Source organism: Homo sapiens, chromosome 10 (genome assembly GCF_000001405.40).
Source record: "Homo sapiens chromosome 10, GRCh38.p14 Primary Assembly".
Taxonomy (NCBI): domain Eukaryota; kingdom Metazoa; phylum Chordata; class Mammalia; order Primates; family Hominidae; genus Homo; species Homo sapiens.
In genome coordinates this window covers 62451048-62466865 of record NC_000010.11, presented here as the reverse complement: position 1 = coordinate 62466865, position 15818 = coordinate 62451048, and the positions used below count along the sequence as shown (strand labels likewise).

At 42.4% G+C, this 15818-nt stretch overlaps 1 protein-coding gene across 1 annotated transcript in view, besides 2 other annotated features; it reads right to left on the bottom strand.

Annotated features, from left to right (window-relative positions):
- Window positions 1–15818, bottom strand: part of ZNF365 (zinc finger protein 365) — a 105917-nt gene that overhangs the window by 13420 nt on the left and 76679 nt on the right. The window contains exon 4 of the mRNA NM_199450.3: window positions 7069–7125. Within this exon, the coding sequence (NP_955522.1) occupies window positions 7069–7125 (57 nt within the window). The remainder of the gene's footprint in view (window positions 1–7068; window positions 7126–15818) is intronic.
- Window positions 1561–2062: an enhancer, noted in NCBI's record as "H3K4me1 hESC enhancer chr10:64224563-64225064 (GRCh37/hg19 assembly coordinates)". NCBI's record gives its function as "activates a minimal SCP1, AML or CMV promoter by ChIP-STARR-seq in primed H9 embryonic stem cells {active_cell/tissue: H9 hESC(primed)}" and the evidence as "EXISTENCE:reporter gene assay evidence [ECO:0000049][PMID:30033119]".
- Window positions 9340–9389: an enhancer, noted in NCBI's record as "active region_3416". NCBI's record gives its function as "activates an Ori minimal core promoter by ATAC-STARR-seq in GM12878 lymphoblastoid cells {active_cell/tissue: GM12878}" and the evidence as "EXISTENCE:reporter gene assay evidence [ECO:0000049][PMID:35858748]".

The following is a 15818-nucleotide window of genomic DNA, read 5'->3' as shown; positions in this document are numbered from 1 at the left end:
CATACCACTATACTCCAGCCTGGGCAACAGAGTGAGACCCTGTCCCAAAAAATAAAAACAGTCTCAGCCAGGTCAGACTCTTATAAGGTTAGCATTTCAAGTAACCTGTTGAATGCTCTGGTTAGGCAAAAGTTTTAGCAAATGTTGGTGATTAAGAAAAAAAAAAAACTATAGTATATACTGAGTGCAATACAAAGGCTAGAGCTATAGACAAAGAAGCAGAAGCTAGAGACCTTGCACCAAATGCACCATTGTCACAGAATGCTTAGGGTGTCATTTCACCAGCCAGAAACCTCTATGGCCAGCAGTGCCTCTGCTTGGGTTTTGCTTACTCCTGCTGGGCTTGTCTCACCCACACAGCCCAGCAGGCTGTGCTCGGCCCGTGCTACTGGCCCAGATCCCATACTTGCTAAGGACAAGCCAGGCACAGAGTGGCAGGGGGTGTGTGAATGCATGAGCAGGGGCAGGGTCTCGCTGCTGTGCACAGCCAGGCACACCAGCTGCTGCAGCAGAGTGGGCAGCTCCAGGTGCCAGCACAGGCACTGGCTTCATGTGAGGCTGCATGCCCCAAGTGACTGCCACTGCAGGCACCAGGGTCTGGACAGACAAGGGGAATGCAGTGGCACCTGAAAGCTTGGAGATGCCAGGAACTACAGAACCCCAAAGAGGGTGTTACAGTGTGTCACAGCTCAGGTTCGGGAAGCCCCAAGGTCTGGGCTTCCAGAAGGGCTTCAACTCTTCTCTCCTTCTTGTCGCCCGCAGTGCAGTGAGTAGGGGTGTGCACAGAGTGGTGGATATGTTTCAGCCTATTTGTGTTACAGCTGTGTTAGTCCCACTGCCCCACTCAGGTCCACAGCTCTTGGACTGGCCTGTCCCCACTGCTGCTTCTCATCCCATGGGGTGGCTTCTGGGTGCAAGTGAAGCATGGGAGGGCTGTAGTGTTACAACAGCTCTGGCTCAGGGAACCCTGGGGTCTGGGCCCCAAGAAGGGTTGCGATGCTTCACTTCCACAGTCTGGGAGTGTGTCACTGCCTGCAGCTCAGTAAGCCAGCCAGGAACGTGTTACAGCTCCTTTCACTCCCATCATTCAGTGGGTCCCAAGTTCTTGTCCCACATCCAGGAAGAATGAGGTTATGTGGATAACTGGAGGGTGAGCCAGGCAGAGAGGAGCTTTACTGAGCTGCAGAACAGCTCTCAGGAGACCCAAAGTGGGTAGCCTCTATCCACAGGCAGGTTGTCCCAGTGAGTGTCTGAGTCTAGCTGAGTCTGGGGTTTTTATGGGCTCAAAAAGTGCATGCTGATTGGTCCATGGGAAGCCATGGGTGGGCCTGAAAAAACACCATGAGTTCTCACTCTGGGTCATGGACTCCACCTGGAACTGGCAGCCCAGCCTCCAGAGCATTCCTGGCTTGAAGGTGGGTTTTCACTAGGGACACACCCCTTCCCACCTAGGAACCTGTCTGCCCCCCACCACCATCAACGTGCCATCCACAGCGCCCAGGCTGTCCACATCAAAGGGCACCTGCAGGCCTGCACCAAGCCACCCTCAGTACCCTGGCCTCCCTCTCACACTTGTCAGTGCCCAAAGCCTGGAGGAAGCCAAGGCAGTTGGAGAGGCGACTGGTGTGTCAGCGCTGCTCCAAGCATGTGCAACCTGACCAGGTTGCGACAGCACCCAGGCTTAGCTACAACTTTGCTCTGCACTGAAGTGGGCTCCGGGAGCAGGACAAGGCCAGGGAACAGGAGCAGGCACTTCCAAGCCTGCAGGGGTAGGGGGCTTCCTGGGATCCTGAGAGCAAAGGGATGCTTGGATCTGGAGCTGTAGCTGGGTGGCTGGGCAGCTGCATCTGCACCCGGGAGCACAGGCTCCCATCCCACCAACTTGATAGGGTGCAGGGCTCCTGTTGGCACCACCTGCTTCCGGCCCCTGCTGGTGCTGCAGAGTGCACAGCTCTGGCTGCGCCTCCCTTGCTATAGCTGGCATCCTTGTAGTGGCCACTCCAGATGGGCCACCGCCACCATCACCATCACCATCACATAGATTATGTGACTCTGACAATTAACAATTTCTCTTATGACTTCGAGTATTGTGTCCCTAACATGAGGATCCATAAAGTGATAATCCTCCTATACCCCCAGCTCTAAAATTATTATTCTTTGCCAGGAAATAAAAAATCTGGAGTTTGTGGAAGAAAATGGGGAAAGGAATATATCTGTCAAACACCAGTGAAAGAAAGGAGGAATAAAGCTAAAATGGATTGATGTGACTGCTTCTATGTGCAGATTCTGTTAGAGGCATTGCCTCACAATCCTTACACCAACCTCAACAGACAGAGCAACCATCCATTCATTCAACAACTATTTACTGAACATCTGCTATGAGTAAGGCTGTGTACAAGGCGCTTGGGATACCACAGTAAGCAAAAGAAACACTCCTTGCCCCTCTGGATCTTAAATTCCAACAATGGAGACAAATTACAGAGAAAATGATTTAGTTACAATCCTCTTACGTGTTGTGAAGAAATAGGATGGGGTGTTTTGAGAGGAAGACCATGCAGTGGGGGCTAACATATATGGGAGATCATAGCAGGAAAGTTTTTGGAGAAAAATCATATTTACAATGAGCTAGTAAGCATGAATAAGAATTAGCAAGGCAGGAAGAATGAATTGCATAGGAACTTGACACAGAAAAGAATATGGTGAGTCCCAAAGTCATTATAATGCTCACCCTACAGGTGAGGCTTACACATGTATTTATCTCTTAAGTTATTTACTTATCCAGGCTCTCATTGCTCAAGACTGGGTTGTGAGGCTCAATATTAGGCCTATTGGAGTTGAAAGACTTTTGTTTTTTTATTGATAATGTCCACCTGGCTCCATTTTGATGACTACACCTACATCCCGCTGGTGTCAGTGTTTTAAAGTGATCCCAAAATGCACAGTTTGAGTCTCTCATCCGTTGGAGGGGTGACCTGTTAGTTGGTAGTAGATCATTGGATGCAACCTTGAAAAAGCTACCCAGAGTTGAGCAAGTCCTTCTACTAGAAATCCCACAGCAGGAAGGGCTAGAGAAGAGCTAGAAAAGGGGCTTTCTCTTCTTTATTCCTAGAAAGATGGATTGAGCAAGTGTTCCTGCATTTTGCAAAGCCCAAAGGGATACTGGGCATTATGTTTACACTGTGGAAAATATCACCATTATGATTTATTTACCATCTTTAAAGTTTCTAGTTACTGTGTAACAACACTTCTAACCAACTCTAAAGGCACTGCATTGATTATAGTTATTACTAAGCTGAAAGTTAAGAAATTGCTCACAAGAAATCTGCATCCTGTCATGTACCAAAGCCGCACATATTTGTCCCGGCTCTTTTTCTGAGTGCAGATAAACATGTCCCATGTGAGGGAGCTTTTCAACATTTCAATGGCTTAGTGGGATGCTCTTTTGAGCCCAGAGGGCAATTACTAAAACTTAAGGTAAGTGGGGAGGGGAACAGAAAACGTGATTGCCAGCCCAAATAAGTGAGGTCCAGGGGACGGCTTAAGTTGTGCATTAAGTATAATCTTTTGGCTTTGACAAGAAGGTGAGGTGACCAGTAATTAGCCATTCAAGTTGAACCCTAAGCACCATGACTTGGATGGGAAGTAGGCGGCTGCCTGCCCCACAGTTTCTAGCTGTTGAGAGCTTTGCACGCAGGAGCTCATCTTGAGCCTAATAAAGTGATTTTTAAGAGTGAAGCTGTTTGTTGGTTTGTTTTTCAATGTGTGCACTTTGATGTTTGTTTTTTAACCCTCAAAAGTATTGGCAAGGATAGATCAGGGCACTAGCTAAATGATCCACAACAAGGCCTTGGAAAAACTGAGAAACTGAACTACTGGTATAGTTCAACCTTTACGGCTTCCCACTGCTGACATGAGCTCACCTTTCAGAAATGTATTTTCATGGGACATATCCATCCCAAGCTGGCAGAGATAGATCCCTTGTAGCTGTCAGCAAATCTTTCCCATTAGCAAGGCATTCAATATTTGAAATAGGTGTAAATCTCAGTCTATAAATTCATGTGTTCAAGAAACATAAAATTTTTAGATTTCCTTACATCAAATTAAATTTGGATTCTGAGTAACCAGCCCACCAAGCTGGCAGGAAATTTAATCCAGCCATGCTTGGGCTGCTCTCACACCCCCACACACCAGGATTCTGCAAAAGTCTGGGTCTTACAGAGTACAGGGTCTTATGCAATGTTGAGGGAAGACTACTCTAGTATTTTGTCATCTGTCTACACTGGTTAGTGCTGAAGTAGCAATTGTCGCAGTCTACATGGCCCACTTAGATCTCATCTCTGCTATTTCAGGCCACATGTGGGATGCCAGGGATCTCTAGGAGGTGAGAAAACCCACCCTTAGGGTCTAGCCTCCCTTGGAGTACACACAGCCTCCTCCCTTCTGAGGGGTACACTTATGGAGCGGTTCCTGGCTCCCACAGCTCACAGGAGCAACAGGGCAGTCTCTTCTTCTCCAGCCTAAAGAAGCTTTCTCTAGGCTTTCTCCTTTATTGCCTTAAGCAAGGAAGAACAAGTCTGAGTACCTATTTGATATGAAGAGAAAGTGTAAAACATAAGGAGAGCAAACACAGTTGAGTTCACCACAGTCAGCCTCCTCTGTGTGTGTGTGTGTGGGAGGGGAGGTAGTGGCTGAAACATCTAATTGGTTATCAGGTGAGAATCTCATGTAACTCCCCCTGTATACATGGTTGGGTGGTGGAGGTCCAGCCCTATACAAAGTACTCCGATGCATGCCAGAGTTTGAGAATCACTGAGTTAAACCAAAGGAAGGAACAACAACCAAAAAAGACTATTTGCAAATGTCTAAAATCACTAGTAGTAAAAAAAAAGGATGGGGAGAGAATTCCAAAGTATTCCTGTTTGCCCGCAGAATTTACAACATTCTGATTTAATATAAAGCCTCTATATTTTTAATATAAGTTGATAGGTTTGCTTATTGTCGAAGGGATTAAAGGAGAGAATGCAGATATTTTAGGCAGGGATTAAATTCTAATTTAATTTTTTTGTAAGATTTTTTTCCCTTTTGTGTTCTTTAGCTTCACTATGTATGAATTTATTATTTTCTCTTTAATCCTATTTGCTACTTGTGGAGCACATTGAAGTCCGCGATTGTCATTCTTCAATTCTGGAAAATTCTACAGCAAGCTGTGAATTTAATCAGGACTGATGTGACTTTACTAAGTTGTCCTTATTGAGCAGCTACATCCAAGGCCTTGTATTTATTGGAATGGGAGGGGGATGGGATGGATACACTGTGTGCCAAAGGGGAAAAGCTCCGTGCGGAACACGGTCAGGAAAGCCCAGGCAGGGCGTCCACCCAAGCCCCCATCTGAAGAGCAGGGATGGAGTTTCCCCATCTGTGTCATAACTATGCTCAGAGGCCTTTCCCTGTTCAGACAAGATTTTACTCAGGAGCTCAACCTGTGAAACAGCTGCTCTGGTTGAAGCTCTCCTCCTCCCCCTCCGACTGGGGGCAGTCCTGGAAAAATCACAGGAGACTCAGCCAGCTTTACCAGCTCCTCCAGCGCTAGGCTCTTGGCCCACGTGTGATAGAACGCCCTGCGAAAGCTGATTAAACTGCCCTTTAAAGAATCCCATCTCCCACAGTGGAGATGTGTACTTGTCTTTAAGGCCTGCTCGCTCATATTTCTGGGAGGATCAGCCCTAGAAGATTCTGTTAGTTATGGAAATATGATTGTGCGTTTGAGAGGAAGCTTGGGTCTCTCTCTGGGGTGGAGGAGTTGAGTCTGAATGTAGAGGCACAGGGAAGTCTTTGTAGGACGGAGAAGATCTGCAGACAACAGCATGAATTGTTTGAATTTTTAACATGAAATTGAAGATCTTTCTGTGGGGGCGTGACCCTCCTTCTCTCACAGGTTCCAACACTCCCGATTGCTTCACACCTGGACAGATTCACATATATATGGGGCTTGTCTGGCTCCTATGGGCATCTGAGTTTGTGGACCCCTGGCCTATATGTAAAGCCAATGCTGCCCCAGAATTTAGCCAAACCAATGAAGTGAAGAATCCTCCCCATACATTTCCACATTGTCGTTTCAACTCTTGTCTTCTGATATGTACTCCTGTCTCCCAACACCACATCAGAATTAACCTCTATTGTTCCCATTAGCCTGATTTGTATCTCTCTTAGGGCTTAGAGCAATCTGTCTCATATTACCATTTTCTATACAGTAGTCCCCACTTATCTGAGGTTTTGCTTTTCTAGGTTTCAGTTACCCATGGTCAACCATGGCCCAAAAATAGATGAATACAGTACAATAAGGTATTTTAAGAGAGAGAGAGAGACCACGCTGACATAACTTTTATTACACTATATTGTTGTAATTGTTCTATTTTATTATTAGCCATTGTTGTTCATCTCTTCCTGTGCCTAATTTATAAACTAAACTTTATCACAGGTATGTATTTATAAGAAAAAACATGTAAGAGTTCAGTACTATCCACAGCTTCAGGCATCCACTGCGGGTCTTGAATGCATCCCTGGCACATAAAAGAGGGACTGAAGAATTACTCATTAATATATATCTCTGCAGGGACTTGGACAAGTACTCAATAATTATTTTTTGACTTATTGTCAGTTCGGATCAGGTCTGACTGCCACAATGTACAGAAGAACTGTAACCATCGTTACAGCCTCCATGCCATCACCACTTACCTCCCAGTGATATGGCCCCTCTCAAGAGCTGTTTGGAGGTAGAGAAGAGAATAAGACCAGTGGCAAGTCACTCAAATCTGGTACTATTCAGTTAAAAGGAACATCATATATAGGGGGAAAAGCTACAGAATATAATGGACCCTCATTTTAAAGGAAGAAACAGACTTTCCTCCTTGCTAATGATGACTTGGGAGAAGGAGAATGTGAAAATGTGTGTTTTCATACAGAAACCAATGGCCTGCTGCGCCCCTTCCAGTCTCTCTCATATGGACCCAGATGGGCTGCTGGTTATTGTAACCAGGCCCAACCCACCCACCCAGGTGGTGGCTTTACCTCCAATTCCAGGTCATTTTGGCACACCAGGCGAGCTTCGCCAGCACCTTTCCAGCTCTGAAAGGAAAAGAAGGGTACTGCCATCATGAATGGAGCTAGTGTGTAGACTGAATAAGTCACAGCAAGACTACAAGCAGTGCCATGTTCCATTCATTTAAGTAAAGAGAGCTGACATATTTTCCCAGGCTAGAAACAGAAATTGCATTAATGTGCTAATTGCAATCAGGACTATATCACTTTGCCTTTTTATTGCATTCAGAGTTTTGTTACCCTATATTAAAAATCATACACCACTCTTCATTTCCCTAAATATTTTAATTGGTATATTTTAGTCTGGATGTGTGTACATTCTCTGTTCCCTCCCATCTGGGTGTAATTTTCCATCGTCTCCCCCTGATGATCTGCATTTTCTCCTTCAAGTCCCTCCTGTAAACCCACTTCTGTGGATCTTGCTTTCACATTATGCCATTAAAAGATCCAGCTGGAAGGAAGTGCCTCTGAATGGAGTCCAAGAGAAGAAACAAAGAAGATGGAAACCAGATGCCATTGAAGTCATCCCCATGTGAGTCATGGTTTTCTCCTGGAAAGTGTCTATCTCAATGCTGTGCATCTTTTCAATTTGAAGCCCACTAGGCAGAAGCTCTCCCTCCATCTATGTGTGTTTTAGCCATCCTCAGTAGAACCATATATTTTGAATACTATTGGCATACAGTAAATGTATACATAGTACTAACAGTAACAAATAAATATTTACTAGTTAGGTTTTAGATCCAACATAAGATAGTCATTTCTTTCATGGGTCATTTACCCACTCTTATTCCAGGCCCATTCTTCACCAGCTACTCTCAGGATTTGAAGTGAATGCTCTAGTTTGATAAGGGTGTAGGGTTTAGGATTGTTCAGTATTAAAAACAAATAACAACAAAAAACCAAAATATAGATAAAGCCAATGCTGACCTCCAGAGGTTAGAATCAACATATCTTTTCTTGTTTTTAAGTACAACTTAAACAGATTTCTGTGTAACAGATCGTATCATCTCTGAAGTTTGTTCATTCAGGTAGGAAAAAAGACCAAAAACTCAGCTAATATTATTAAAAAATAATAATAAAGTGAGAGGAAGATCCCTGTTTTCCCCAAGTGGTTTTAAGAAACAGCTTTCAAAACTCTTCTAGAAGGGTATTCAATTAAGCCAGTAGCAAAAATGTAACTGGCAAAATCTAATGTTGTTTTAAAAAAAACACATGTGCATGCACCCACATACACACACATTTATATACCCACACAATATTATATATATATGTGTGTGTGTGTGTGTGTGTGTGTGTGTGTTCAAGATGGTGGACTGGATGCTTGCATTTATCTACACTCCTTTTCAAAATTCTGCTGAAGAGTCAGTTAAGGAAATAAATTCATAACCATGCTGAAGACAAAAAAGGAAACCATCAGCAGACATTTTGATACTTTTCTGGAAGAAGGAAAGACAGTGAATAGTATGGATAGATGAAACAGAGCAGAGAAAGCAGCACCCCAGATATACTCAGGAGGAGGCTGCAGAAAGGGTGGAATGTTCTTTCCAAAGAAGCCTTGGGGAATCTTCACGTTGGACATGAACAGATTCAGAACTCAGGAATGGAAAGAGGAGCAAAAACCAAGTGATTAACAGAAGGTTGACCAGAGAATGGTTGCACCGTTTGACTTTTGTCATCTCTCTCCTCTTTTCCCATGCATACAGATGGAGCAGCAAGAGGGGATTCAGAAACCTTCGTCCCCTCCCCAAGATCTGATCTATTAAGAAAATAAGATGTCTCCCTGGGAGAGCTAAGGCTTGTTGTATGGTATTTGGCATTCCACAGTGAAGCCCTCTGTTTTTGGTGTTTTGAGGTGAAAAGAAAGTCATTTGCATGATTCTCTGTACTTGCATCCTAAAGGGAAGCTTGTGGTTGACACATCCCACCCATGTACACAGCCAGCCACCAACCTCAGATATGCTTACTGAGGAGACACACCTACTCAGTGGCAGGGAGCTGCACCTGACACCTAGCCACCGTTGTTAATTACCTAGCCCTTCATTCATAAATATAAACAAATAGCATGAATGATTGAGTTGACAGAGTGGAAATGGGGCATGAAAGAGAACTGTTATACATGTGGTGTCAAAGGATACTATCTAACACCAAAGACTCAAGAAATAAAACTGTAAGTCTATTGTTTAAAGTTATAATTGTCACTGTGGTTTGCCATCTCACATCCATTTCCCCTATATGTAGCTAGCAGAACCCTAACCTTCATTTGAAGTAAGCCTTCCTTCTCCACTCTTAGCTCACATGCTTTGGCAAATGTGAATGTAATTCTACACCCATGATGGAATATGGGACCTAGGTCTAGGCCAAAGTGTACAACCTATGCCCTTGGCCACATCACTTGTTTTGAAATGAGCAAGCCAACCCCATCTGCTTAAGTGGTATAGAAAATTATTGTGCAGAAATATTCTCTGCCTCCTTCTCACTTTCATGGGAGGAGAGTACGTCTCCATTCGGTTGATTTGGGGTACAGTCATGTGACTTTCTTTGGCTAATGAGATGTTAGCAGACATGACACAGCATAGGGTACACATGTTTGTGCAGCTGGTCTTGCACTCTTGTGCCTCTGTCATCACCATGAGAATATGCTTGGGATGGGTCACCGGTCTCAGGAAAGAAGATAAGAGACATATGGAACAGGGCTGAGCTACACTAGCCCAGAAGCGTAAGAAAGATCAGCAGAGCTGTCCATACAAGCCCAGCCTAAATTAGCTGACCCCCAGCTGAGCTCAGAAGTGTGAGCAGCTCCTACTAAGATCAGCAGAACCCCCAACAAGCCCAATCTAGATCATCTGACCTCAGCCAACCCACACATACACATGTTAAGTAAATGCTTATTGTTGTAATCACTGAGTTTGTGTGTGTGTGTGTGCATGTGTGCGCACGTGTGTGTGTTTTAACTGAGCATCATTGTGGTCACAGCTAAATAGCATTACAAGAAAGACAGATGCTTACTTTCCTGCTAGTCTAGAATCTAAGAGGATATGAAACCAGAGCTACAGCTGTGGTCACCACATAGAACTTGAAGATGAAGTGTGCAGACTGAGGACAGCTGAGCTGAAATCGAGTCCCGCTCACATTGAGCTCTCAATTTAGCCTGGTCTAATGCCAGTTCTGCCTCTGATCTTGTTTATATGAGCCAGTAAATTCCTTTTGTATTGCTGAAATCAGATGGATTTGGCTTTTTCTATCCAACTTGCAATCAGAAGAATCTTAACTAATACCAAAGTATACAGGTAACCAATGATAGAAATAAATTCATAAAAATGAGAAGAGAGGGGTGGGGGAGTGGCGTACACAAAATAATTTCTCATCTTACACGGCATGGACAACATAATGTTCAATTCAGTAAATCAAGAAATATAAATATAGGCATGTTTTATGGAGATGATCATGGGAAAGGACTGAAATAAGAAATAAAGTTGGTTTTACTGGGACAGAGAATATGACCAAGGGATGAGGTGTTCATTTTTTTTTTTATCTTATGGAGATCTGTGGTGTCCCATGGGTGGCCACTAGCAGCAGTTGGTCATTTAAATTTAAATTAATTAAAATTTAAAATGCAGCCTCTTGTTCACAGTAGCAGCATTTGTAGTGCTCAACAGCTAGCTACATGTGGCTAGTGGCTACTGTACTAGATTGAACAGATATTGAATCTGTCCATCACCATCACCGCAGCAAGTTTAGTTGGACAACGCTGTAGTGGAGTGTCAGGAGTCACTGTGTAAAGTCAATGAATCAAACAACAGAAGTTTAAATACATCATTCAAAATTGCCCCATCACGATTTCATGGTACAGGCCCTGGAGGAAAAACAGCTTAGTTTCCTTTCAAATCCCAGCTCTGATACTTACAAGTTACTGAACCTTGGGTAAGTCACATTGATCTTTCTGTACTTCAATTCACTTATCAGTAAAATGGCAGAATACATGCAGACCTTTCTCACAAGGTTGCTGTGAGAATTAAATAACCAAATATATGTAAGTTCTTATATTTTGTGCCCAGCATGTGGTAAACATTCAATATTTACTTTTTATTTTCTATCCTTCTCTAAGTTAATTTTATTTTACCATATGCACATAGTTTAAATAAACTATGTATATATGAGATTTATAAATCAGTATTTAAATATAAATATAATATTTAATTTTTATCTCTCATATACAGTATATGTACATATACATATATCTCAGCTCCAGTTCATGGGATTATAGATGCTTTCATTTTCTTCTTTGTACATTTCTATAGTTTCCAAATTTCTGTATTGAACATGTATTATCTTTATCACCAGAAAAAAAAGTTTTTACTTTTAAAGATACCAACATATTTTGAGATGAACAGTGTTCTACATCTGGATCATTTGCTTTTGCTGATTTAGTCCACAGGGGCCCATTACATAATCTGTTGTTAGCCAACTGGGGCTTCATGACCTCTTTCCTGGGCTATTACAAAATCCTCCTGGCTGGTCCCCTTCCCTGTCCAGCTCTCTCCCAGCCTCCCTGTGCTGTCTCCACAGTGCTGCCAGAGTGATCCTTCCACAGCACAACATTTATAACACTCCCCTGCTTAAAACCTGTCAGCGTTTTTCTGTCCTTTACAAGTTAACTGCCCAGTCCAAGGCATGCCCCACCAAAGCCTTCTTATTCTAACCTTGCCTGCCTTTCCAGTCTTTTAACCCCCCACCAAATGTATCCAAGTCTCCACCCACAAACCACAAGGAGGAACATTCTTCTACCCCTTCTCCATTTCCAGTTGGAAGTCCCATTTATCCCACAAGATGTGCCTAACTTTGCACTAATCTCCAAAAGCAGAGCTCAGAGCTCCCACTCCAATCAGCACCACTGTCTCAGAGCCTGTTCTACTGAACAGCAATTATTTGTTTACATTCCAGACTCACCCTCAAGTATGCGCTCCTTGAGGGTGTGGCATCTTTGCCTTCCTGTGTCCAGCCCAGAAATTGACACCAAATAGTGCTTAATAAATGGTTGTTGCACGGATTCAGGAAGAAATTGTTTTAATTAAGATAGTAAATGTTCACTGCAGAAAATTAGAAAGTCTAGATAAATCAGAAGCAAAGAAAAAAAAACATGAAGCACATGTAATACCACCTCTCAGTAACATCAACACCTTGGTATATGTCCACAAGCTAGATTAGAGGTTCTCAAGCTTTCTTGGTTCATGGCACTCTCAGTGTTTCCGTAAATTTGTCTAGCATTTTAGACCAAAATAAATTATGTTTATTATGTAGTTTAGTCCAAACACCTTAATGGTAGTATGTAGTTCCCAGTGTCCAAAGGTGTCACTGTGTTTCCCTAGAAATTTTAGAATATATTGGGATGGGTGTTGCTGTGAATTCACCATAGTGCCCCAGGATTCCTTGGCACACAGTTTGGGAATTACTGGTCTAGACCTTCTAAAAGGATCTTTTAAAATACAATACATTGTCATATTGTACAGACTTTTGTTAACCAATGATTTGTATTTAATAAGAAGTAATACATGACTTTCCTGCTTGGTAACTGCTTATCTACCAATAGCTAATATTTGATAAGTACCTGGTAAGTTCCCTATGAGGAAGGTGTAATGCTACATCATTATCTTCATGAAGAAGCTGAGACACTGAGTTGTACATGAACAGCAAGGTATACGTTTAAAAAGGAAAAAATGAAAAAAGAAACTGAGGCACTGGCAATTTAAGAAACTTTACCAATATCTAACAGGTAGTAAGTTCACAATCAGGCTGCAAACCCAAGAAATCAAGTTTTAGAATCCGTACTCTTTTAACCTTCACAGCATCATTTAAATGGGGTGTGAGGCTACAATGGTGTTCTATGGTAAAGATGTATTACAACTTACTTAAATCATATCCCAAATATTAGACATTTAAATTGTTTCCAAGTTTTCACTATTTTCAACAATCTTGAAATGAACATCTTTATGGCTACATACTTTCATATTTATTTCCTTGGAGAAAAAAATCTATAGAAGTAGAATTTCTTTGTCAAAGAGTACAGTTTCTCAAAGAACTAAAAATAGAACTACCATTTGATCCAGCAATCCCACTGCTGGGTATCTACCCAAAGGAAAAGAAATCAACATATTAAAAAAAGTACCTACACCCACATATTTATTGAAGCACTATTCACAATAGCAAAGATACGGAATTAATCTAAGTGTCCATCCATCAACAGATGATTGGATAAGGAAAATGTGGTACATATATACAATGGAATACTATGCAGCAATTAAAAAGAATGACATCACTCTTTTGCAGCTTGAATGGAACTGGAGGCCATTATTTTAAGTGAAACAACTCAGAAACAGAAAGACAAATACAGCCTGTTCTGTCTTATAAGTGGGAACTAAATAATGTGTCCACGTGGACATTGAGTGGGGAATGATAGGCACTGGCGACTCATAAGGGTGAGAGAGTGAAAGGGATGTGGATGGTAAGAAATTACTTAATGGGCACAATGTGCGTTATTTGGTGATGGATACCCTAAAAGCCCTGACTTTACCACTACAAAATCTATGGATGTAATAAAATTAAATTTGTACCTCATCAATTTATTTAAAAAATTTTTTAAAGATGTACAAACTCCAAGTTTTTTAGTACTTGTATTCCAGCTATTCTACCAAATAGGCTGGATAAATTTCTATTTCATTATTTGTTTTTTCTAATTCAGTGTTTCACAAACACTGAATATTTTTATTATTTAAAAAAATGTTACCAATAAATCTCCCTAAGCCAGGAAGATACACTTACATTTTACAAACCTTTCCACAGCAAAGAATATATTTATGGAACAATGAAGGTGGCAGTAGGAAGGATTCAAGGGACCTTGGGCCTGCCCAGTCCTTCTGTGACCATAGGAGAATAATTTAATATCTTCATTTCTACTTGTCTACTAACATGACCAGTGCTTTTCAAACTTTTCACAGAAATAGCCCAAAGATACAAGAGAATAAAAACTTATTCCTAGAGTTAGGACCCTGGGGTGTATTGATCTAAAGAGATCCATTGCAGGCATGCAGTTTTTCCTCCTCTCAGATTCAGGCCAAAACTGCCTTCTTCTCCATAAGATGTTGGGGTTTTTAATATAGTAACATGAGTTTTGTTTTTTCATTTTTATCAGATAGAATTGTTGCTCCAGGGAGATAGATGTGCAATAACTTAATATGTAGCTTCAAGGACCCCAAGAGACTGCTGTGTACTCCACTTTGAGAAACAAGAAATTCTCTTCAAGATTCTTTCAACCTTGGTCAGTGTAAGATTCTAGAGAACACGATCTGTTCTCCAGTTAACCATAAAATGTGCGGTCATTATTCTGGGGGTGGTTAATTTTCCTAGAGGGGTCAGCATTTTTCTTTCCCATCAATTTCCTTGATTCCTGATACAGAAATGGCCTTTCCTCTCTGTTCTGACCATGCCTGGCCATCACTGGAGAGGCTGACAATTTAGATCCACATCCTAGAGTCACTAATAATAATAGTATTTCCATCTTCACCCTGAAATCCACACCCAGCTTTCTTAATTAACTTCCTTCTACTCTAAATTTGTTTCATGGCACAGGTAATGTGATGCAGCAATGAAGAAACACTGTTCTTGGCATAGAAAGATCTAAGTTAAACTCCTAGATAGACCTTCGGGAATCACAACTTCCCCGAAATTCAGTTTCTGCACTGGTAATATAGGAATAGTAATGGTTCTTATCCTGTCTCTCTGACAAGTATGTGGTGAAGATCCTACAAACAAACCTTGGGGGCTTTGGGTAAGTATTATTTTTATTATTTAATATCCATCCTGAATTCAGAAGCAGGAAAAAATTCCTTGTCACATTACCCATGACAATCCTCCAGTTTGGAATGTTGGTGGTTGGGAAGCATGCTCCAGCTCTGAGGAGGCTGTGGCGTCAGCTGGATGCTGCTGTGGAGCTGCCTCTACAGGTCTGCACCAGACACAGGGGAAGCCCTTTTGGAAACAATGATGGGCATTATTGAGCTGGGTGGGGCCAGAGAGGGAATGTCGGTAACCACTAGTGAACTGTAGCCAAGCCCCTGCATGGCAAGGAAAGCTCTTTCTCCTGGGATTTGACTTTCTGATGAAGAAGTCACAACTAAGGTAAAATATTTTAAACTTTCAAGTCATCTAAGTCTCAAAGCTCTCCAGAGGCAGGTGGTGAATGCCTCAGTGGGCCTTGAGTAGGAACTGGAACCTCTGCACCAGTTTCTGCTTTTTTGCTACCACCAGCCCTAACCCTCACCCTCCACAGAACAAGTCACACCAGGGAAGAGTGAGAGCCAAGCTTTTTGTCGCTGCCAAGCCATGAAGACCCTGGAGGCCACATCAGACAAGCCATGAACGAGCAGCTCAAATTGAGCAACTTGAACAAGGAAACAAGCTCAGGCAGGCACCACAAGCAAAACAAGGGCAAAAATTGAAGAAGGATGGAAAATGGAGCTCCCAAAGCAGTCACAGAAAAAAGGAGCATCAAGATTCATATCAGAAAAAGTGGGAAATAAAGGAATCACAGGCAAAAGAAGTGACCAAACTCCTCCCTACATCTCACACGCACGAGTTTGCTCACAACTCAGCCTTCCTCATTCTGTAGCCATTGTTTTTCTGCTGTTTTCTGCACGTAGTTTCATTTGGGGCATGTGTGGATGAAT